The 24,801-nt window shown below is 45.9% G+C and overlaps 1 protein-coding gene across 14 annotated transcripts in view, besides 2 other annotated features; it reads right to left on the bottom strand.

The window, feature by feature from the left end:
* The window catches only part of CGNL1 (cingulin like 1), a 174,213-nt gene extending 171,616 nt beyond the window's left edge, over nucleotides 1-2,597 (bottom strand). For 10 of the 14 annotated variants that reach the window (XM_047433182.1, XM_047433187.1, XM_047433180.1 and 7 more), the window contains exon 1: nucleotides 2,535-2,597. The gene's annotated coding sequence lies outside the window, so the exon portion shown is untranslated. Of the gene's footprint in view, nucleotides 1-1,936 lie in introns of all 14 variants that reach the window. The other 4 variants (XM_047433184.1, XM_047433186.1, XM_011522121.3 and 1 more) reach the window with 2 other exon arrangements.
* Nucleotides 7,166-7,666: an enhancer, noted in NCBI's record as "H3K4me1 hESC enhancer chr15:57663634-57664134 (GRCh37/hg19 assembly coordinates)". NCBI's record gives its function as "activates a minimal SCP1, AML or CMV promoter by ChIP-STARR-seq in naive H9 embryonic stem cells {active_cell/tissue: H9 hESC(naive)}" and the evidence as "EXISTENCE:reporter gene assay evidence [ECO:0000049][PMID:30033119]".
* Nucleotides 22,890-23,611: an enhancer, noted in NCBI's record as "H3K27ac-H3K4me1 hESC enhancer chr15:57647689-57648410 (GRCh37/hg19 assembly coordinates)". NCBI's record gives its function as "activates a minimal SCP1, AML or CMV promoter by ChIP-STARR-seq in primed H9 embryonic stem cells {active_cell/tissue: H9 hESC(primed)}" and the evidence as "EXISTENCE:reporter gene assay evidence [ECO:0000049][PMID:30033119]".

Genomic DNA, 24,801 nt, shown 5'->3' with positions numbered 1-24,801 from the left:
AATATGGCTTCATTTTGTTGGCATGGTCTCACTCACTCACACACACACACACAAAAAAAACAGTAGGAAAACACTTTCCATATAGTCTTGCTCCCCAAAGGGTGATGATTCGGGTCAGGGGACACCCTGTAAGACAATGCGCTGCATGTAACCTCCATTTCAAGCCAAAGCCAAGACAATGAAGACGGCTCCCACAGGGTGCACACCTCCAGCAAGTGAATACAGTAGTAGCAGCAGAGCATGGTCGTGGAAGTTGGGGAAAAGCGAGAAAACCAAGTGGGCAAAATTATGTCATTTTTGTATTTTTCAAAATGAATGTTCTTTGGACTTACATTAGCAGCTAGAAATGAATGTAAATGTTCTTTCACTTCAGCAAGGCATTCTTGGAAGGATGTCATCCCACTGTTAATAAAAATACAGGCGGGGCACGGTGGCTCATGCCTGTAATCCCAGCACTTTGAGAGGCCGAGGTGGGCAGATCACCTGAGGTCAGGAGTTTGAGAACAGCCTGGACAACATGGCGAAACCCTGTCTCTACTAAAAATACAAAAAAGTAGCCGAGCATGGTAGCGGGTGCCTGTAATCCCAGCTACTTGGGAGGCTGAGGCAGGAGAATCATTTGAACCAGGGAGGCCGAGGCTGCCGTAAGCTGAGATTGCACCATTGCACTCCAGCCTGGGCGACAAGAGCAAAACTCTGTCTCAAAAAAAAAAAAAAAAAAAAAAAAAAAAAAAAAAACACATAGAGGGCCACCCCCTAAGAAAAACTTAAAACCACTGATTTGTGGTCAGGTAGCAACATCAGGGTGGAAATTTTAATGCAAACATCATATTTGGGGTACAAAAGTAAATTAACCAAGATCCCCGGAGACTATCACATTACTAAAAAGGGCAGTGAAAACACATTTTCTTGATAAAATATATGACCTAATTTAGCCAATATAAGCATGGTTACATTTTCCTTAGTCCTACTTCTCTATCATTTTTAAGACCATGTGACAGGTGTCTCAGGTGTCATCTCAGATGTGCCATGTTATACACTGTGTTCTGTCTGCAGGGCTTCATCATACTTCCAGAATAAGTTTAATCTACAAAAATGGACTTATGTTAACACAAATATCAACCACAAAACCTTAAGGATGTTGTTAGCTTTGGCTTTTTGAAGGAAAATTCTCCACATTTATGCAACTCCATTATCTACGTGGGGGAGTCTCCGGAGGGTCTCCAAAAGCTGACCAAACCCTAAAGTATTTTTTCTCCTTTTAATCTGAAATCATTCCCGAATATGACAAGTCAAATTATCACTTGGTTTTCCCTGAATAGGACAACCCTGTATTATAACCTTGACCCTGACAAGGACTGCTCGGTTCTAATGCCTACACTCCCACCTCCTTGGCAGAAAGTGCCCTGGCAGTATTGACTGTAAACAGAGAGGTAGAAACAAAGGGATCTTCAGTAAAGGCACCATCTACTGTCTAAAGTTGGAAAGCACCAATCAACAGGTTCTTCAGGTGGAGAGGTGGATTAGGGAAGAGCTATGAGGACCTGAGATGAGTTCTAGATCAGGACTGATCTTGAGCCGTCCGAAGAGTGGCTGGTGGGAGCAACTCTCAAAGCAGAGGTTTTCAAACTTGCCTGCACATTAGAATCACCTGCGGCGTCTTAAAAATTCCATTGTCCAGGCTGCAACCCAGGCAAGCCGAATCCAGATCTCTGGGAGTGGGACACAGGCACCAGTATTTTTTAAAACTCTCCAGATGTGGGGCCAAGTTTGAGAACCAATGCCCGCAAAAGCATTCCCAGCGAGCTTTGAGCAACGTTTTGAGCGGCATAAGCAGAGTCGGGAGGGCAGCGGCCTTAGGGTGAAGAACACACAAAGCAAATATACAAAGTTTCAAAAATCCTGTGTAACTAACTCCAACATGACAGCCAAGTACCTGTCTAGAGGCCAAACAGTGATGCAACTTGGAAAAGTCCCGGGGAGAGCTAGAATGTGTGCTCCGAGTGAGGCGGGGGCTCTCTCGGGGATGACCTCCCTGGGCGGCGCAGTGGTCTGGAGGATCGGGGAGAGAAAGGTCACACGCCCCTTTCTTTCCAGGGGATGGTCCGGCCGAGCACGCCGAGGACTTGTGTACGACAGGATAGGTCAGAAACTGCTTCGTGTGAGTCTCTCCCAGCTGTCACTAGAGCCGGAGGGTCCAGGCAGGGGTGCGAAGGCAGAAAGTCCCTCTTCACTAAAGGGAGGTTCTGCAGGGCCTCCTCCCTCCCACCCCGCCCCGAAGCGGGTTCCCCAGGGATCGCCCGCATCTGTTCTGCGCCTGCCCTCGGCGGGGCGCGGCGCGGGAGTCCGGGTCGCATCTTCGAGCCCCAGGACACGCGCGGCGCGGGTCACCGAGAGTGGACGCGCGGACTGAGCACAGTGCACCTGGCTGAGCCCGAACCCCTGGGGGTCCCGCCGCCCTGGGCGGCCCCTAGCACCCCGAAACCCGGCTGCCGGCGCACACCCCGCCCCGCTCCAGCCCGGAGCTCACTCACCGCCGCCGCCGCCTCCTCCCGCGTCCAGCTCCCGCCGCAGCCAGCAGAGCCCGGCCGGAGTGCAAGGGCCGCGGCGCCGCCGGGAGGCCGAGCGAGCCCGCGCCCCGCCCCGCAGTCGCCGCCCGCCCTCCTGGGAGGAGGGGCAGGGGCTGGCCGGGGGCCTGGACCCGCCGGGGCTGCCGGCGGGCCCAACCCTCCCTTCAATCCGCCCGCGGCCCGTCGGGACGAACCTACCCAGGAACCCCCGCACCACCCGCCCTCGGCTCCGCTGGGCCCGGGGCTGCGCTTAGACCTCACCCCTTCCCGGAGCCGTTCGTCCTTCCACCTCCCCTCCGCCGTCACCGGGCATTTTTCTTCTCCCAGCCTCGGCCTCTCCAAATTCCTGGCCTGCAGGAAGCCCTCCCTATTTCGCGCTCTCGACTGCGCCGAGCTCAGTTTACCCCTTTCCCTTCCTTTCCCTGCTTAGCCTTTTTCCCCCTCACTGTCAGAAACTTAAGGGATAGCGCTCTTCTGCCACCGCAAACCCACACCTATTTATTGAGCACCTACTGTGTCTAGACACTGGTGGGGAGGTTATCCCACTTGCGCGGTAACAAGAAATGTCTGTCTCTGTTGGAGAAACAGTAAAGTGAGGCGCCTCGTAAGGTCACACAGCTGGCGGTAGTAGGGCTGGGATTCGAATACAGTTTTTAGGTCCTTGTTTAGACCCACCCCACGATAAACTGCGGCACGCCTCTCGCTAGCTGTGAGAACTTGGGCAAAATGTTATCAGTTCTAAACCCCAGTTCACTCATCCGTAAAATGAAAAGCTGGATACTTCACCAGCTATGAGGATTCCCTGAGAAAACAACAACCTGTACTTTTTTTTTTTTTTTTTTTTTTTGGAGATGGAGTCTTGCTGTTTTGCCCAGGCTGGAGTGCAGTAGCGCGATCTCGGCTCATTGCCTCTGCCTCCCGGGTTCAAGCGATTCTCGTGCCTCAGCCTCCCGAGTAGCTGGGACTACAGGTGGCCACCACTACGCGCGGCTAATTTTTGTGTTTTTAGTAGAGACGGGGTTTCACCACGTTGGTCAGGCTGGTCTCGAACTCCTGACCTTAAGTAATCTACCCGCCTCGGCCTCCCAAAGTGCTGGGATTACAGATGTGAGCCACTGCGCCCTGCCCAACCTGTACTTAATACATGTTTGCTGACATATTGAATGAAATAGACCCTTGAAAACTTAACAATTCAAAACAATATAAAAGGACTTGAAAAAGTAATAGGTTGGTGCAAAAGTAATTGCAGTTTTGCTATTACTTTCAATGGGAAAAGCCACAGTTACTTTTGCTCCGACCTAATAATAGTGATTCATTGCCAGGAAAGAAAGAAAAAAAAAAAAAGATGCTACTTATCCCAAGTGGGCAGCATGGTCAAGGGAGTCTTTTTGGAGGAAGCGGTATTGCACTATTCCAGAGTTAGCAGGTCTAGGTTGGGGAAGACAGCCAAGGTGATGGGGTGTGTGAACAGTGCCCAGAGGGTGGACCAGCTTTCCTGAGCAGAGGCTGCCTGGGGCAGGACACACATGCTAGAAAATGGGATGAGGCATACTAGAAAGGTGGATGGGGTCAGAGGGTGGAAAAGGCATCAAATGCCAAAGTGAGGGGGCTCAAGGCAACCAAACAGTACTTGGACACCTCAAAATGACTAGAATGGAACCTGCATGCAATAGAGGGCACCTAAATGGCCCTGGGAACCAGATGGGGGAGACCCATGGCCTAGGAACCAGCAGAGTCATGGGGTAGATGGGGAGTTGCAGCAGGGAGGGACAGGAAAGAATTTTCCAACTGGGTGCAGTGGCTTATGCCTGTAATCCCAACACTTTGGGAGGCCAAGGCAGTGGATCACCTGAGCACAGGAATTCAAGACCAGCCTGGGCAACATGGCGAAAACTGTCTCTACCAAAAAAAAAAGAAAAAGAAAAAGAAAAAAAGCGCATACACACACACACACACACACACACACACACACACACACACACACACACACACAAATTAGCCAGGCATGGTAGCATGTGCCTGTAGTTCCAGCTACTCAGGAGGCTGAGGTGGGAGGATCAACTGATCCTGGGAGGTTGAGGTTGCAGTGAGCTGTGACTGCCCCAGTGGACTCCAGCCTGGGCAACAGAATGAAATTGTCTCAAAAAAAGAAAGAAAAGAAAAGAAAGAGAGAAAGGAGAGAGGGAGGGAGGGAGGGAGAGAAGGAAGGAAGGGAGGGAGGGAAGGAAGGAAGGAAGGAACTAATGAAGGAAGGAAGGAGAGAGAGAAGGGGAAGGGAAGGAAAAGCAGAAGGTAAGGAAAAGGGGAAGGGAAGAAAAAGGGGAAGGGAAGGAAAAAGGGAAGGGAAGGGAAGGAAACGGGGAAGGGAGGGAAAAGGAAGGGAAGGAAAAAGGGAAGGGAAGAAAAAGAGAAAGGAGGGAGGGAGGGAAGGCAGGAGAAGGGGAAGGGAAGGAGAAGGGGAAGGGAAGCACAGGGAAGGAAAAGGGGAAGGGAAGGGAAAAGGGAAGGGAAGGGAAGGGAAAAGGGAAGGGAAGGGCTCTTGTTTGGAAGACCAGATGTCTTGGTGACCAGATGTGTGCAATGAGGGAGTGGAACTGGCAAAGGCAAAGCTGAGGCTTCCAGGCTGGGTGCCTTGGAGCATCAGAAATAGGAACAATATGGAAAGAGGCTGCTTTTCAGGAGAGCTCCTGAAGGTTCCATGGAGCATGAAGTAATGGTGGAACTTTTCAGTGGAAATGCCCCAGCAGGCAGCTGGGAAGTGGAGGAGTGTCTCTGGGCAGCATCCATGTGGAGGGTGAGGGGAGAGTGAGGACCAGGAGCCAGGAAAGGAGAGTGCAGTGCCTTCACTGAGGGTGGAGGAAGCAGAGGGCATCACCCAAGGGAGAAAGAGGAGGGTAACTGAGAGCTGTTGGGAAGAACCCAGGAGTCTTTGACGGAAGCCCAAGGGTGAGGGACTCCTGAAGGAGAGGGCAGTGCCGAATGTCACGAATCCACTTCTCACATGGGCCCTTCCAAGGATCTGTAGAGAGTGTGCACTCAGGAAATATTTGTTAACTGTCAAAAAAGCATTTCATCAGCAATTTCCCCTCCCATACAGATATTTTGCTGATGACAAAAATAAGAGGAGTCATTGGAGGTAAAGACAGAGGTGAGAGAGATCAGCTACCAGAGATACTGCTTTCGTTGCTCTTATTGTCAAGATGAATGCTCAAGCCCCACCAACCTCAACTTAAAGCAAACATTTCCAGGGAATGCTTCTGAAAAACATTTTTGTCTTTTTTTTTATTTAATGTAAGTCTGGCTCCCTTAATTATGGTTTTTGAGCCAGTAGAACGATTAAGGGGAGGAAGAGCGGGGTCAGTGGCAGCAACTTGCCAAAGAGAAGTTTCCAGGAGGATGAGTAGAGAAAAATCACCTCTTTTCTCCTCCAAATTTTCTGTACATAAAATACATGATACAAAAATATTCACATAAGTGCTACAGTATAAATGACATTTGAGTAGTGACACAGAATATAGGAAGAGTGACAGAAGGGAGGCTGCAGCATGGAATAGGTCTTATGGCGTGCACTTGGAAGACGTAATGCAAGGCCAGGCGTGGTGGATCACACATGTAATCCCAGCACTTTGGAAGGCCAAGATGGGTGGATCACTTGAGGTCAGGAGTTTGAGATTACCCTGGCCAACATGGTAAAACCCTATCTGTACTAAAAATACAAAAAAATTAGCCGGGCGTGGTGGTGCACGCCTGTAATCCCAGCTACTCGGGAGGCAGAGACAGGAGAATCACTTGAACCCAGGAGGCGGAGGTTGCAGTGAGCCAAGATCACGTGATCGCACTCCAGCCTGAGTGACAGAGTGAGACTTCATCTCAAAAAAAAAAAAAAAAAGAAAAGAAAAAAGAAAAAGAAGAAGATGTAATGCACATGGATAACAGAAAGAGTGCGGAGGGCATTTCTGGAAGGTGTGGTCATACACCCGAGACAGGGAAACAGGAGGAAGTGAACAAAACAAAAAATAATACACGGTTTATTTGATTGAAGTGGAAAAGCTATTCCGCTTGTGAAGCAAGATGGGATTGGGAAGGGCACCTGGGAAGAGGGCTTTTGCTTGGAGTCATTGGGAAACAGGCTGCCTTAATACGGGTTGCCCTGAAGGAGGAGCCTGTGACAAGACTTGCCTGCTGGTGGTGTATTTAGGGTGATCCCTAGAAGCCGGAGAGAGGAAGCAGGAAGAGTGCGACAGGCAAGGAGGAAAGGCCAGTATTAGGGTGTGTTAATGAGACTGGTGCTATATGCAGGGGGCCTGATTCCCCTGGGACCTCCTGGGAAGATGCTGAATGCCCCCCAGAATTGACAACCTGAAGCTCAGGTAGCTGGAGTATTTTTCCAAGTCTCCAGCAAAGACCGCTCCTACATGCCTTACCCCTACTTCTAGGCTACCCACCTCCCATGCTGAGAGGGCTCCTTGGAACAAAAGTGCTCACTTGTGATGGAAAGCTGTCAGCACAAAGTTGATCTGAGCTTCCAGGGAGCTCTCCCAGCACCTATAGCTTCTGCACCTCCCGGCTGCTGCAGTGCACATGGTTTCAAGCTCTGCCCCTGCTGTGCCAGGACTCCTTCAGGACCTGGTGCCTACATCATTCCACAGCCAGCAGCCTCTCCTGGCACTATCCCTCTACTCCAAGCTGTTGTGTGGTGGAGCAACTCTACCAAAACTCTGCTTCCCCATAAACAGCTTTCCCCAGAACCCCAGAGGTCAGATTACCAGTAGGTTCCATGGGCATGACGCCATAGAAACTTCTTTCCCCTCCAGTGAGACCCAGCTGTGTCCTCTCCAACAAGGTCTGGCTCTGAGCAGGAGCAGAGGGGAGACTAATTCCTTGGGTGCTCAATCTCATTTTTGGACTTTGCACACTTCCCACATGAAGTGAAGAATCTCAGTCTTAAACTGTTCACTTTTCAAAGTGTTCACTCCTACAAGTGTTGAGGGAAGAGACTTAATACATCAAACAATCATATTAAGTTTCCGTTTGAACTTCTAGAGCCCCTTGGGCAGGCAAACTTGCTAGGCCTACGGAAAAAGAATCAAACCCCTTGGCAAGGTGTGGCAAGCCCTCAAAATCTGGCCCTGACTGGCAGATAAGTCAATGAGAGGGCTATGCCCCTAGCCAGCCATCCACACTCTGGGCCTGCTGTCAAGGTTCCTTCATCTAAAACACCCTTCCGTCTTGCTCTTTCAAGGTTTAGCTTAAGTCCCTCCTCCTCTAAGAAATCCTCCTCCTTCATCCTCCCTTTCTGCCTTGTGGGGTGTTTTATCATAGCACCTACTTACTTATAATTCAGCCCTCCCACACACTGAGTTTCTTAACTGAAGGGAATGGGTCAGATTCCTCCCTGAGTCTCTAGCCACTAGCACATAGCAGGTGTTCAGTAAATGTTTGATGAATGAATGAGCACATGCTAGTCAGTGCACACACACATAGCCAGTCAGGAAATGCCATTGTGGAACAGGTTTTGAGGTGAGGCTCACTTCTTGTGGCCAGGCCAGACTGACCCAGCCCATCTGATCTCCAATAAAGACTTGCCCCATGGCCTTTGACTAGTAACGTGTAGCCTGGATCCCTGGACCTGCAAAGACAGGTGATATTTATTGACCTCATAGCAGAAGAGGTGAGACCTAATTAACAATAAATGACAGGGCGCAGTGGCTCACGCCTGTAATCCCAGCACTTTGGGAGGCCGAGGCGGGCAGACCACCTGAGGTCAGGAGTTTGAGATCAGCCTGGGCAACATGGTGAAACCCCGTCTCTACTAAAAATACAAAATTAGCCGGGCGTGGTGACACATGATTTAATCCCAGCTACTCGGGAGGCTGAGGCAGCAGAATCGCTTGAACCTGGGAGGCGGAGCATGCGGTGAGCCGAGATCGCGCCATTGCACTCCAGCCTGGGCAACAAGAGTAAATCTCCATCTCACCAAACAAAACAAAACAAAACAAAAAACAGTAAATGGTTCGGCAGGGCACGGTGGCTCCTGCCTGTAATCCCAGCACTTTGGGAGGCCGAGGCGGGCAGATCACCTGAGGTCAGGAGTTTGAGACCAGTCTGGCCAACATGGTGAAACCCCATCTCTACTACAAATACAAAATTAGCCGGGCATGGTGGCATGTGCCTGAATCCCAGCTACTCAGGAGGCTGAGGCAGGAGAATCACTTGAACCCGGGAGACAGAGGTTGCAGTGAGCTGAGATCGCACCATTGCACTCCAGCCTGGGTGACAGAGTGAAACTCCATCTAAAAAAAACAAAACAAAACAAAATAAAAAAAACAAAACAAAACAAAATAAATGGTCCTAAGTAGCCTTTGGAAAAGTCACTGTGTATGTGTATAGTATGGAGGAAGGCAATGAAACCCAGTATGCTATTGCACATCCTTATTCCATGGGAGAGACAAGAAGATAAACTATTACTTTTTTTAATTCGCTCTAAAGGTAGTATACCCCATTATATGGTGGAAATGTTGATAGAGGAGTGAAGTTTCTCAGTAAGAGAAAAACATCTAATAGCTTGAGTTTGACTCCATGCTAATCCTCCAGTATTTCCCCTAAGGGGAACACAGATTTCTTCCCACAGTTACTTCAACGTGCAAGGTAAATGAAAAATCAAGAGAGAACCAATAGCAACATTAGAGGGATCCAGCATAGTCAAAAGTATTTTAGATACATTTTGTGGTCGGTTGGACCCTGGTTGGATCCAAGCATGGCTTGAGTTTCTAGAAGCTTGGACTGCCTGTCTTGGAGACTGAAGAACTTAGTGTAGGAATGTCAAAGCTCTGCTGACCAGTGGAAGGAGGAATTTTCCAGAAACAAGGCAAGTTTACACTCACCATCCCCTCAGCCATCCCCAAAACACCAACTAATACTAATTCAATAAACATGCATGTACTAAATGTTATTGGGAATGTGTCCTTGATTATGTTGAAACAACTCCAAATCGAAAAGTCCCTTTCGAACCATGCTTTGGGCAAAGTCAGGATAGCTCCAATTCCAAGATTAAAAACAAAACCTTAGCCAGGCACAGTGGTTCACGCCTATAATCTCAGCACTTTGGGAGGCCGAGGAGGGCAGATCACTTGAGCTCAGGAGTTTAGGACCAGCTTGGGCAAGATAGTGAAACCTCATCTCTACAGAAAATACAAAAAAATTTGTCAGGCATGATGGCTCGCGCCTGTAGTCCCAGCTACTCAGGAGGCTGAGGTGGGAAGATGACCTGAGCCCATAAGGTCGGGGCTACAATAAACTATGATTGTGTCACTGCATTCCAGCCTGGACGACAGAGCGAGACCCTGTCTCAGAAAAAAAGAAATTTAAAAAAAAAAAAAAACCTTGAAACATTTAAAAAGTTTTGACTCTGTGGACCACATTTTATTTGTAGCAAATTAATCAACCATTCTTTGGCTTGAATTATTTGGTTATAGTTGATCTTGAGTGACATATTGTCAGATTATATTCAGACCAATTGGGCAACAAATGAGACCAAAAAACACCAGTACAAATGTTTTAAAATTCTGCATTTTTAGGCCGGGCACGGTGGCTCATGCCTGTAATCCCAGCACTCTGGGAGGCCGAGGTGGGCAGATCACCTGAAGTCAGGAGTTCAAGACCAGCCTGGCCAACATGGCGAAACCCCATCTTTACTAAAAATACAAAAATTAGCTGGGTGTGGTGGCACGCGCCTGTAATCCCAGCTACTCAGGAGGCTGAGGGAGGAGGATTGCTTGAACCTGGGAAACAGAGATTGTGGTGAGCCGAGATCACACCACTGCACTCCAGCCTGGGTGACAGAACAATACTCCGTCTCAAAAAAAAAAAAAAAAAAAAATTCTGCATTTTTGCTCATTTCTGACTGCCAAAGCCTTCTAGCAAGGGATTTCACCTTTCAGAACACATTTTTCTTGGATATGTCTAAAGCAAAAGTAGCAAGCTGGGACTATTTGGTGGCAGGGCTGAAATAATGAAAACTCAAATTTAGTCTTGCAGAAGTAGTACAATTTATTTTCATAAAACTTTCATGTAAGGGTTTTTGAGCTGGTCTGCCCAAGAGCAGGCTGAAGTCAACAAACTGGCGATTCCTTCCGCTTTTAGCCCTACAGTCAAGGTGACAGTGATTACAAGAGGGAACTTGGATTTCTTGGGCAATTTGAAGAATTCCACACTCAACATTTAAATTTCAGAACAAGCCTGAGCAACACGGTGAAACCCCATCTCTACAAAAAATACAAAAATTAGCCAGGCTTGTGGTACACACCTGTGGTCCCAGCTACCCAGGAGGCTGAAGTGGGAGGCTTGCTTGAGCCCAGGAGGTGGAGGTTGCAGTGGGCTATGATCACACTGCTGCACTCCGGCCTAGGAGACAGAACTGAGACCCCATCTCAAAAATAAATTAATTTAAAAAATAAAAATAAATTTCAGAACAACCCATGAGGTACATGTTCTTATCTCCAATTTACGGATAAATAAAATGTATAAATTTATTTATTCTTGATAAATAAATAGAGAAGCAGAGATTGAGACCTGGGTCTGTCAGAACCAGAGCTTTGCTGAAGAGTCATAAGACCTCAAACCAGAAGGCATCTAAGGGATCATTATCCCAAGCCTTGCTTCCCTCATTTCAGACCACAGTTGGCTTTCTCCTTGACAGCTCCTACCCGGAGCCAAGGGACATCAGAGCCTCTGGCAGCCACAGAGAGTTTTCAGATGAGTGATTTTCCTGTGAGTCTCCATCTGTGTGCTTTAGTCTTGCAACCAGCAAGTGCAGGTGACTGGCTTTTCCAAGCCCCACCCGGTGCCGGTGGAATGAGTATTGACCTGTTCTTTCCTGCCTGATACCTCAGTCTCCCTCAACATGAGTTCCCTTCCATGAAATTCAAGGACATGGAGATTGGCGTCCACATGCCTTTCCCTTGCCAGGAGAACTCTGGAGTTTGTGCCAATATGAAGAAGATGACTTTTCAAATATGGGTATCTGTTTGGAAAAGGGGAAAAGTGAGAGTGACCACGGTGGTTTTTGTAACTCAACCTTAGGAAGCTCTGCCTGCCAGAGGAGCCAGGAGGGAACTGAGCTGGGGCGACAGAGGCCAGCAAAGCCCAGGGGAAAAGGCTCACATTGAGGAGGCTCTGGATTCGCTCCATACCTCTTAGGGCCAATGCTTCCTTTTCTCTGAGGCCTCCAATCCACTGTGTCTCTGAAATCTCAGGAACTGAGGTGAGCATCTCGGAATCAAACATTAGAAAGCCACCAGAGGCTAGGCATGGCGGCTCACGCCTGTAATCCCAGCACTTTGGGAGGCTGAGGCAGGAGGTTCACTTGAGCCCAGGAGTTCAAGATCAGCCTGGGGAACAAAGCGAGACCCTGTCTCTACAAAAAAAAAAAAAAAAAAAAAAAAACTTTTAAAATTAACTGAGCATGCTGGTGCGTGCCTTTCATCCCAGCTACTCAGGAGGCTGAAGTGGGAGGATCCCTTGAGCCAGGAATTCAAGGCTGCAGTGAGCCAAAATGGTACCACCGCATTCCTGCCTGGGTGACAAAGCAAGACCCTCCCATCTCTAAAAAACAAAAACAAAACAAAAATGAAAAGAAAGGCACTGTGTGTTTGGATGAAAGACTAGACGCTCAAAAACGTCTGAGTTGGCAACACAGCAAAATTTATAAGTAGCTTATTGAAGCAGGATGGAGCCTACCTTGAACCACTTGCAGTGGATAGGGGAATGATAAGGGAAAAATTAGGAATCATTGCCAGCGCAAGGTGTACACATCATTGGTGTATTTCAATGCTGTGTTAATGTGAACTGAATAATTATTTTTAGTAATATTCAAAGATGTACCCTTACATGTGTTTTTTGTTTTTGTTTTTTTCTTTTGAGACCGAGTCTCGCTCTGTTGCCCAGGCTGGAGTGCAATGGCACGATCCCAGGCTCACTGCAACCTCCACCTCCCGGGTTCGAGCAATTCTCCTGCCTCAGCCTCCCAAGTAGCTGGGACTACAGGCGCCTGCCACCGTGCCCAGCTAATTTTTGTATTTTAGTAGAAACGGGGTTTCACCATATTGGTCAGGCGGGTCTTGAACTCCTGACCTCAGGTGATCCGCCCACCTCAGCCTCCCAAAGTGCTGGGATTACAGGCATGAGCCACCGCGACCGGGCTTTTTTCTTTCTTTCTTTATTTTTTTTTTTGAGATGGAGTCTCACTCTATTGCCCAAGCTGGAGTGCAGTGACACTATCTCGGCTCACTACAAACTCTGCCTTCTGGGTTCAAGCAATTCTCCTGCCTTAGCCTCCCACATAGCTAGGATTAAAGGCACACGCCACCATGCCCGACTAATTTTTGTATTTTTAGTAGAGACAGGGTTTCACCATGTTGGCCAGGCTGGTCTCCAACTCCTGACCTCAAGTGTCTGCTCACCTTGGCTTCCCAAAGTGCTGGGATTACAGGCATGAGCCACATGCACCTGGCCTCCACGTGTCTCTTTTATATAGGGCTGCATTATGGCTTTTGTAGGCCGTATGCACTTCTGACTTGTGGATCTCTTTCCCCATTTAAAAAAAATTGTAATTTTATTTTATTTTTAAATTTATTTTTTAGAGACGGGGTGTCGCTATGTTACCCAGGTGGGTCTCAAACTTCTGGCCTCAAGCAATCCTCCTTCCTTGGCCTCCTAAAATCCTGGGATTACAGGGATGAGCCACCAAACCTAGCCCCCAAAATTGTATTTTATGAATTCATTGATATAAAGAAATACATGTTAATATTATATATGAAGTCATTTTCTTCCACCTAAAAGTTTATTCTTTTTCTTCTGATTCTAAAAGAAATTGAACTTTTCTGTGGGTCCTGGAAGTATGGTGGGCCCAAGTGCTGTGCCTGCTATGCCTATAGGATGAGTGGGCCCTGCTAACATAACGTGGGTTTCTGCCCTACACTCAGTACCTGGGGAACGTTTAAAAATAGCTTTGCTGGGCTGGGCGCGGTGGCTTACGCCTGTAATCCCAGCACTTTTGGAGGCCGAGGCGGGCGGATCACAAGGTCAGGAGATCAGACCATCCTGGCTAACACAGTGAAACCCCGTCTCTACTAAAAATACAAAAAATTAGCCGGGCGTGGTGGTGGGAGCCTGTAGTCCCAGCTACTCGGGAGGCTGAGGCAGGAGAATGGCGTGAACCCGGAAGGCGGAGCTTGCAGTGAGCCGAGATCGCGCCAACGCACTCCAGCCTGGGCGACAGAGTGAGACTCCGTCTCAAAAAAAAAAAAAAAAAAAAAGCTTTGCTTGGGGGCCCACTCAAGACCAATTAAATCAAAGTCTCCAGGGGCGAGGCCCAGGCATTCTATTTTTGGCATTTTTTTAAAGTTCTCCCAGGTGACTCTAATTGCAGCCAGAATTGTGCTCCTGGCTCTAATAGTATTTTCCTCATAGGACCTTAAGCTTCGCAGCAGCAAACTCTCCTATTGCTTTTTTTTTCTCCTTTTTCTTTTAAGACTAGCCTTTGAGGCTGGAGATGGGCCACTGTTCTACAGATCAATATTCCAAGCATAGGACTTGACTGTGTTTTCTTTCTATCAGAGAAAATCCACTTCTTTATATCAGAGAAGGGCAATGTTTTTGAAATGCTAACCGCAGAATCCTGCACTTTCTGCGCTTCCTGCCCCACTTCTCCTTTCCAAGCCTCTGCTCTTTGCAAGCTGCCTGCAGGGGGACACAGGGTGGAAAGCAGAGAGAAAGCAGTTGAAGATTGTTTCCAAAGCCTCTGGGCTTGGAGGTCTGCAGTCCTAGGTAAAAGTTGGGGAAATGTGAGGCTTACATGTGGGATTTGATTTGAGGGACTAGAACATCTTATTCCAGACTAGGGGGAGAGAAGACTGTGGAGGTGGTGGGGCAAAGCTGTGCTGAAGAAGCCCTTAAAACATGAAGAAGGAAAAAAATCCGGTTTCCCAGCACGAAGGCGCAAGTAGGAGCCCGTGGCCTCTACTAGACTGCCGCAGGCTGCACCAGCTGTCCCTTCCTGGACGAGGCCTTCCCTTCCCTGCAGTCAGCCCATCACCTGGTTACCAGCTGGGAGGGGAACACCCACTTGTGCCCAGAGATTTTGCACATTCCCTCTCTCCTGCTCCTGAGTACTCCATTCCCCCCTTACAATATTCTAGAACATTCTTAAGCTCAGAAGAGAGTGGAGCTCTGGATACCTCGCACTGATAAGGTGGCCTGGCCTATTTTCAGAGGATTAAAAAATTTGCAGAAAACAAAGAAAAAGTGAAAGATAACTCCCACAAACATAGTACAATTTATGTTTCAGCACCTTAATGAATTCACACCAGAAAAAGATTTAACCATTCAGCAATAAAATTCAGATATCTCAGAATTATAACGCCCTCAGTAGATATAAAAATGGTAGAAAACATTTTAGGAAGGAAAGTGACCTATATTGGATATGATGTGGACAGCTAAGAAGTATAATACTAAGGGACATATAAAGGAACAGTATAATGTAACACACTGAATTTGGCCAGAACATGCTCCGGTAAGGGAGTTCTTAGGATCACACACCATCTATCTTAATTACATACCTGCCCAAAAGATAGAACACAACAGGAAGAATGTACTTTTATTGAGCTTGGAGGGCTATAAAATAGTTACCTTGTTACAAACTTTGGTTTTTATATAGCAGCAGGGGACAAACTATTTGTTCTCTGTTTTACATTTTGTTTGCATAAAACAACATTGCTATGGAGTTGTAAAGAAAGATAAAATGGGAAGAGATTTTCAAAAGGGGGTTCTTTGTTACTTCTGAGTGTGGCAGCTGAGAAGTCAGATGTTGCATGGTACCTGCATTTTTTTCTTCAGCTGTTACTATTTGAATGAGAGGCACTTTATAAAATCGAGAAGTTTGAAACATGGTGTGTTGATGAAATCTTTCTGGAGATGGATGGTGATGGTGGTTACACAACGCTGTAAATGTACTCAATGCACTGAACTGTATGCTTAATAATAGATTAGCTGGTACATTTTATGTTATGCAGATTTTACCACAATTAAAAAAAAAAAAAAAGATGAAGGAGCTCCTGGGCCCAGGTTGTAGAGAAAAACAAAAAATGAAAAGAAAAACATTGTGGTTATGATTTTGATTTTATGTGTGTACACATACATATGACAAAAGGAAGAAAGGAGATTATTTATTTTTATTAAAAAAAGTTTTCTAGGCCGGGCGCAGTAGCTCACGCCTGTAATCCCAACACTTTGGGAGGCCGAGGCAGGCAGATCACGAGGTCAGGAGTTCAAGTCCAGCCTGGCCAAGATGGTGAAATCTCGTCTCTACTAAAAATACAAAAATTAGCCAGGCGTGGTGGCACGTGCCTATAATTCCAGCTACTTGGGAGGCTGAGGCAGAAGAATCGCTTGAACCCAGGAGGTGGAGGTTGCAGTAAGCTGAGATCACGCCACTATACTCCAGCCTGGGCCACAGAGCAAGACTCTGTCCAAAAATAAAAAAATAAAAAACAGGTTTCTGGCTGATGGAAATGTAAAATCTGAGCATTAGTGCACGTTTGAGACCTTATGAGCATCTAATAAAACCATCTAGTTATAAAATATTACAAATTAGCTTATTTTAAAAAAAGAAATTCAGAAAATCACTTATAACATGTAGTATCTTGTTCAAGCCCCACCTCACCACACTTCCCTTCCCTTCAGTCTTCTACCATTCAAAGCATCCACAGCCAGAAAAAAAAAAAAAAAATCCACACAAACTAATGACAAACTCCCCTTATGAAATCTATAAAAATTACCAAAATATTTTGACATTTTTCTCTTATTCAAATGAACTAATGGAGAGGCACCAACAAAGAAGTATTAAGATACATGTAGGTTAAAAAAAACTTCTTATGCAGACCTGGATATTATAACACAATTTGTTGAAAATGCTTTTATGTTGACGCAGGCATCATTTTTTTTGAAATATTCCTATTGTTCTCCAATAACTCCACCAATAATAAAATTGCCAGTTTCATTTCCATCTGCTTGACTTTGATACCTGCTTTCATCAGTGAAGACCTGGGAGGGAGGGGGAGTGACAGGCATCTTGCTGACTCCACATGCATCATCTCATCCAATCCGCACAGTAGCCCAGGCAATGTGGTTAAACCCATGGTGCAAGGAGGAGAGTGGCACATCGAGATTATAGAATTTGCCCACGGCTAATAAGTGACAGGGCTACTATTCAAATCTAGGTTTGTCCAATTCCAGAGCCTGTATGCTTATGCATTGCGATATATCACACATGCCTATAGGGCTAACTCTCTTTTTCATAGTTGGTTTTCTGTTTGTTTGTTTTTGTTTTTGAGACAGAGTCTTGGTCTGTCACACACGCTGGAGTGCAGTGGCGTGATCTCAGCTCACTGCAACCTCTGCCTCCCAGGTTCAAGCACGATTCTTGTGCATATAATGCATTTATTTTTTTATTATAAAAGTAATCTAAGGCCGGGTGCAGTGGCTCATGCCTGTAATCCCAACACTTTGGGAGGCCAAGGCAGGTGGATTACTTGAGGCCAGGAGTTCAAGACCAGCCTGGGCAACATGGCAAAACCCCATCTCTATTAAAAATATAAAAATTAGCCGGGCATGGTGGCATGCTCCTGTAATCCCAGCTACTTGGGGAATTGAGACAGGAGAATCACTTGAACCCAGGAGGCAGAGGTTGCAGTGAGTCGAGATCGTGCCCTCTGTCTCAAAAAAAAAAAAGATCGCGCCACTGCACTCCAGCCTGGGTGACAGAGTGAGCCTCTGTCTCAAAAAATATATATATATAAATAAAATAAAACACAAATGAACTATGGTATGGCATGTCCATACAATGTAATATTATTCAGCATTAAAAATAAATGAGCCATCAAACTATGGAAAAGACATAAAGGAACCTTAGATGCATGTCGCTAAGTGAAAGAAGCCAGCCTGAAAAGACTACAAATCGTATGGCTTCAATAATGTGTCATTCTAGAAAAGACAAAACTATAGAGAAAGATAAAAGATTCATGGTTTGGCCTGGCATGAGGGATCACACCTGTAATCCCAGCACTTTGGGAGGCCGAGGCGGGCCAATCACCTGAGGTCAGGAATTTGAGACCAGCCTGACCAACATGGCGAAACCCTGTCTCTACTAAAAATACAAAAAATTAGCCAGGCATGGTGGTGCGTGCCTGTAGTCCCAGCTACTCAGGAGGCTGAGGTGGGAAAATTGCTTGAACCTAGGAGGCAGAGGTTGCAGTGAGGTGAGATAGTGCCACTGCCTTCAGCCTGGATAACAGAAATGAAACAAAAACAAAAAACCCATAGCACTTTACAGCACAAAGTACATACTTAACACAGATTTTTAAAAGTTTGTGTGTTGGGGGGTGGGAAGTGTTATGGACTGAATGTGTCCTCCAAAAATTCATCTGTTGAAGGCCTAACCTTCAATGAGATAGGATTAAGAGGCAGGGCCTTTGGGAGGTCCTTAGGTTTCGATGAGGTCATGAGGGTAGGGCCCTCATGATGGGATTAGTGTCCTTATAAGAAGAGGAAACCAGTGTCTGAGTCACATGAGGATACAGCAAGAACGCAGCTGACTAAAAGCCAAAAAGTGGGACCTTATCAAGGATTGAGTCTTCCAGCACCCTGGTCTTGGACTTCCCAGGTTCCAGAAGCATGAGAAATAAATGTCTGTTGTTTAAGCCACAAAGTCTTAAGCTGACTAAGACAGTGGGAAGTTTTCTTTCTTCTGGAACTCCCTTTCAAGTCTCTGGCCATAGGACCATGCCTTTCTTTTCCATACCATTTTCTGAATTTTTTTTTTTTTTTTTTTTTTTTTTGGAGACAGAGTCTCGCTCTGCCTCCCAGGCTGGAGTGCAATGATGCAATCTTGGCTCACTGCAACCTCCACCTCCCAAGTTCAAGCAATTATCCTGCTTCAGCTTCCCGAGTAGCTGGGATTGCATGCCAGTGCCACCACACCCGGCTAATTTTTGTATTTTAGTAGAGATGGGGTTTCACCATGTTGCCCAGGCTGGTCTCTAACTCCTGACCTCAAGTGATCTGCCCACTTTGGCCTCCCAAAAGTTCTGTCACCCAGGCTAGAGTGCAGTGGCGCCATCTCAGCCCACTGCAACCTCTGCCTCCCAGGTTCAAGCGATGCTCCTGCCTCAGCCTCCCAAGTAGCTGGGACTACAGGCACACACACCACCACACCCAGCTAATTTTTGTATTTTTAGTAGAGATGAGGTTTCACCATGTTGGCCAGGCTGCATTTTCTGAAATCTGCTTTCCCTGTTGGTAATCTCCCTGTGCAGGTTCTGGGGTCTCATTAGCTAATGACTGTTTTTTTGTTTTTGTTTTCTGAGAGGAAGTTTTGCTCTGCTGCCCAGGTTAGAGTGCAATGCACAATCTCGGCTCAGTGCAACCTCCATCTTCCATCTCCCAGGTTCAAGCGATTCTCCTGCCTCAGCCTTCCAAGTAGCTGGGATTACAGGCACCTGCCATCATGCCCAGCTAATTTTGTATTTTTAGTAGAGACTAGGTTTCATCATATTGCCCAGGCTGGTCTCAAACTTCTGTCCTCAAGTGATCTGCCCACCTCGGCCTCCCAAAGTGCTAGGATTACAGGCCTGAGCCACTGTGCCCGGCCTCATTAGCTAATGACTTTGAATAAGTTATTTATACATATATGCCCTCATTTACTCATGTCTAAAATGGTAATGATATAATAATAGTAACTACCTCATAGGATAATTACTATTTATTTCATTGTGAGAAACTATGAAATAAAATATCTTTGCCTTTATGAACTATAAGGTGATTTAGTTTTTTGGGGTTTTGGTTTTTGAGACAGAGGATAGATAGTACATTTACATAATTTAAAAAGGTGTACACAGAGAAGCCTCACTCTCACTCTGCCCCATCCACCCATTCCTCATCTGGTCGCCCATAAGTAACAGTTTTTATTAATTTCTCATTTATCTTTCCAGTGCTTTTGTAAGCAAATACAAGCAAATTAAAATAAAATATAAATACTTATTTCTCTAATATTCTTATGGAAAAGAAGCATACTATGTACTTTCTGACCCTCGATTTTTTTCAACTTTTCATCTTGAAATGATTTCAGACTTGAAAAAAATTTGGAAAAGTAGTATAAAGAATTCCCATAATCCTTCACCCAAATCTCCCAAGTGTTGACATCTTACATCACCCAAAGTACAAAGATCAAAATCAGGAAACTGGTCGGGCGCAGTGGCTCACGCCTGTAATCCCAGCACTTTGGGAGGCCAAGACAGCCAGATCACTTGAGATCAGGAGTTTGAGACCAGCCTGGCCAACAGGGTGAAACCCCATCTCTACTAAAAATACAGAAATTAGCTGGGCATGGTGGCACGCACCTGTAATCCCAGCTACTCGGGAGGCTGAGGCAGGAGAATCGCTTGAATTCAGGAGGTGGAGGTTGCAGTAAGCCAAGATGGTGCCACCACATCCAGCTTGGGTAACAGCCAGACTCCGTCTCAAAAAAAAAAAAAAATCAGGAAATTAACATAAAGGCAATACTACTATATAACTGACAGAGCTTATTAAATTGTCACTAATTGTCTATCTAGTTATCTAACTTCTGCTTTCTTCTTCAGGAGCCACTCAGGATCCCACACTGCACTTAGTGGTCAGGTCTGTGGTCTTCTCCCATCTGTGATAGTTCCTCTATCTTTCCTTGTCTTTCATGATCTTGACATTTTTGAGGAGTACTGGTCAGTTACTTTGTAGAATCTCCCTCATTTGGAGTTTATCTGATGTTTTCTCAAGATTAAATGTAGGTTATCCATCCTTCGAAGAATATCACCAAGGTAATAAACCCTCAATGCATATTGTTAGTGGGATAGGATGCTGCTATGTCCTGCCACTGGTGATGTTAACCTTGGTCGCCTGGTTAAAGTTGTGTCTGCTGGGTTTCTTCACTGTAAAGTTACTATTTTTACCTTTGTAATTAATAAATATCTTGGGAGAGATAGTTTAAGGCTATGCAAATATCCTGATTCACCTCAAATTTTTGCCCAGTCATCTTAACATCTATTAGTAGATTGTGCCTGTAATAATTATTACTGTAGTGTTTGCCTAATGGTGATTTTTTATTTCCCTCATTAATTATCATGATTTCCTCATTTATTATTATAAGTAATTGAAATTCTATCTGGAGAATTACTGTCCTTTCTCATCTATTTGTTTGCTTGTTTATATGAGTATGGACTCATGGATATTTATTTTATGGATTATAATACCATCATTATTTTATTGCTCAAATTGTCCCAGCTTGGCCACGGGGAGCTCTTTCAGGTTGGCTCCTGCACACTTGTGACCTGCCCCATCCTTTCATGAGCACTTCCTTACTTTCTTGCATTTCAAGATGTTCCAGGCTCTTCTTGTGTTTTCCCTGCCTAGGAGCCTGGAATCAATCACTGCTCCAGGGAGGCCTGGTTCCTTTTATTTAGAAACAAAAATCTGGGCACTGAGTGTGTTTATTGTCACTGGATGTCATTGCTTCTAGGGCCTCATAGAGAACAGAGCTTGAAATAATACATATGTATACTAAGCCATGCACATCTATATTTCTGTAACTGTATATACATAAAATGTTAAAAAACAAATTCATACTGTGATAGCTCAGATTCCAATCCAACATGACAGGGTTCATTGTAGCCCCCCTTCCTCTTATTTGTAACTTCTTTGGCGGTGAGAAACCTGGCTCTCAACATCTTTAATGCATTTACAGATGACCCTTGAATAATGTGAGGGTTGGGATGCCACTCCTATGTGGAATCAAAAAACCACAGATAATTTAAAAAAAAATTTTTAATAGAGTCTTGCACTGTTGTCCAGGCTGGAGTGCAGTGGCACAATCATAGCTCATGGCAGCCTCAAACTCCTCAGCTTAAGCAATCCTCCTGCTTCAGCCTCCCAGTAGATAGGACTATAGGCACGCACCACCACACCTGGCTAAAAATCTACATATAACTTTTGACTCCCCATAAACTTAACTATTAATACTAATAGCATACTGTTGACTAGAAGCCTTACTGATAAGTTGATTTGCATGTATTTATTACATATTCTTAAAATACAGTTAGAGAAAATGAAATGTTCTTAAGAAAATCATAAAAAAGAGAAAATATATTTACTGTTCATTAAGTAGAAGGTGGTCATCCTAAAGGTCTTCATCCTCATCGTCTTTACACTGAGTAGGCTGAGGAGGAGAAAGAAGAGGGGTTGGTCTTGCTACCTCGAGGGTGGCAGAAGTGAAAGACAATCCTTGGATAAGTGCACCCTTGAAGTTTAAGCTTGTGTTGTTGAAGGGTCAGCTGTACCTATTTTTTCAGCTTTAGTATACACAGAAAGTAGTTGCAGAATTCCTAACCTCCACCCCCCGCCCATGAGAAGTGTATTAACCATACAGTATTTGTGTATCAAGTCAAAACCCTATTTTCCCTGGGTACTCAGGTTGGTTCTTTTCTTCCCTACCCCCTTCAGTGTGGTTATGTTATTCATCTGTATTATGGTTGGGTTCTTTTGTTTTTTTTTATTTCTAAGAGACAGGGACTCACTCTGTCATTGAGGCTGGAATGTATGGAATGTAGTGGCATGATCTCAGCTCATTGCAGCCTCAATCTCCTAGGCTTAAGTGATCCTCTCGCCTCAGTCCCTGAGTAGCTAGGACTGCAGGCATGCGCCACCATGCCTGGCTAATTTTGTATTTTTTGTAGAGACGGGATTTTGCTATGTTCCCCAGGCTGGTCTCAAACTCCTGGGCTCAGGCAATCTGCCCACCTCGGCCTCCCAAAGTGCTAGGATTACCTGTGTGAGCCACCATGCCCAGCCTGGTTGGGTTTATTTGTAATTGGGTTCCATTTGGGGCTCCCAAACATCTTAATTTTTTAAAATTTACATTCAGTAAAATTCACTCTCTGTAGTTTGCAGTTCTATGAGTTTTGACAATGTAGAGTCATGTATCTACACCACAGTCATGCAACAGAACAGCTGCATCAGCCCCCAAAATCCCTCATACAGCTTAATCAACCCCCCCACACCTCCTATTTTTGGCAACCACTGATCTGGTTTTTGTCCTTATAGTTTTGCCTTTTCCAGAATGTCATATAAGTGGATTTGAGTATGTAGACTTTGGGGTCTGGCTTCTCTCACTTAGCAGAATACATCCATTGTACTCTACAGGTCACAATCCACTGTTATTATTTCTCTTATTGCTCAGATTCCCTAGGTTTGGCTGTTTTGAGCCCTTTCAAGCTGGCTCCTGTGATCTTCTGACATGTTCTCACCATTTTTCTAGCATTTCCTTACTTCCAGGCACCATAAGCTGGTTCAGGATCATCTTACACTTTCCCTTTCCCAGCCCTGGAGTCCTCACCCCATTTTTCCAAGGAGTGGTGGAGACCTTGAGAATCCCCCTCCAGTGGGCGAAACAGCCCACTCCAGAGAAGGCATGGAGAGAAACTCACTTATCCACTGGAGAGTACAAGAGAGGAGAGAGAGGAAATAGCTCGTCTCATCAGAAGATGGCCAGGTATAGGGATTAAATGCAGATGGGTGGTTAATATGTAATTCAAGCTGATGGTGGCGCATATCAGTGCTGACACCATTAAGCATCTATAGCTTCTGTGATTCCCAGCAAGATTTCCAAACAGCATTGGGCATAAAAGGCTAGTCAAGGTTTCCAAATACCATGCCAAGCCTAGGATGCCCCCTTCCATCTTGATATGTAGTCTCATTGCCTTTATACCAACTGTCCCCCCACCTCCCTGCCATTAATAGCCACAAGAGTGAAGCTACATTCATGGACTGAACCCCCACCAAGTCGGTCAATTACCTCAGTTGAGAACCCTCTTGATTTCTCCCTAAAAATTGTGTTTAAAACTTGTTTTTAAAATATTTTTTGACACCCCTTTGCTAAAGCAGTTTGTGTCAGGGGCAGCTGTGACAGTCACCTGGGGTTGCTACGGGAACGGTGTCCATGGATTGCAAGCGACACCTGGCTAGCGGTGGGCAGCTGGCGAGCTACATGGAAGGAGGGCTGTTTTTCCTTTGAAAGTAGAACATTTCTTCCTTCAGGTTGTGAACAGTTAGCCACGGGGCGTGGGATTTTACTTAGGAAAGAGAGGCTGCTGTGGGACTGGGCACCCACTTGCCATGGCAGCTGGGAAGGGAGAGGAGTCAGCAAAAACTGGCTGGGACTAACGCTCCGAGGACGCACTGGCTCAAGCTGCCCTTTACCAGCTGAGGCCAATGACTGTGGGTGAGGCAGGGAAACCAAGGGGAGCCCGGGGGTGAAGGATTGCAGTGGGGGTCAGGGAAACTGCAGGTACCACACTGGGTGCCTCGGTTCCTGTTAGAGCTCCCTCCCTGCCCAGGGCCAACACCAGAGACCAGATCCCTGACCTGAACTACAGTCCCACTGCTGTACCCAGATGCCCTTGCAGTCATTCATAGTCACTTTGGGTGAGTTGCATTTGTCAGTCGGACTGATCCCCATGTATTCCTGCATTCCAGGCATAATGCAGAAGCCACTGCTCCCAAGAGCCTGCCCCACTGGTTTGCATGAGACTCACGTGCCTGGGTCATTATAATAAGCCCCACTAAGATGGGACTCAGGTCAATGAGGACAGAGCATCTTCTAGTATAACAAGTAAGGGTTTATTGATGTTGGCCTTTAGATACTAAAAAATAATTGTTTTTGTAAATAGCAAAGGCAAAGGCAAGAGTAGCCAGTGTTAGCTAAGGCAGTGGAGTGGTTCTCAACCCGCGCTGCACATCAGCGTCACCTGGGGAACTGTTTCAGCCCAGTGATTCTGTGGCTCTAGAGTGCAGCCTGGCTTGGATTTTTAAATACTCCCCTCGAGTGATTCTTAGTGGGTGGCCAAAATAGAGAACTCCTGCTCTAAAGTAGAATAACCTCTAAGCTAAAGAAAATTTGGACCCCATGAGTATAACAGATACTATCATACCTTGGAGATAGCATGCCATAATGTGGTTCAGTTCATTATTAGACGAAAGTTTCCTCGAAGCTGAATCTGCATTTACACACATTATATCACCCTCTGGAAACAGAAGTAAGAGTCAGGAAAGCAGATTTCCCCATAAGTACTTCTTATACTTCCAGTGTAGC

This window comes from Homo sapiens, chromosome 15 (assembly GCF_000001405.40).
Source record: "Homo sapiens chromosome 15, GRCh38.p14 Primary Assembly".
NCBI lineage: Eukaryota > Metazoa > Chordata > Mammalia > Primates > Hominidae > Homo > Homo sapiens.
Note: the sequence above shows the minus strand (reverse complement) of the source record. Positions and strands in the feature narration are given on the sequence as shown.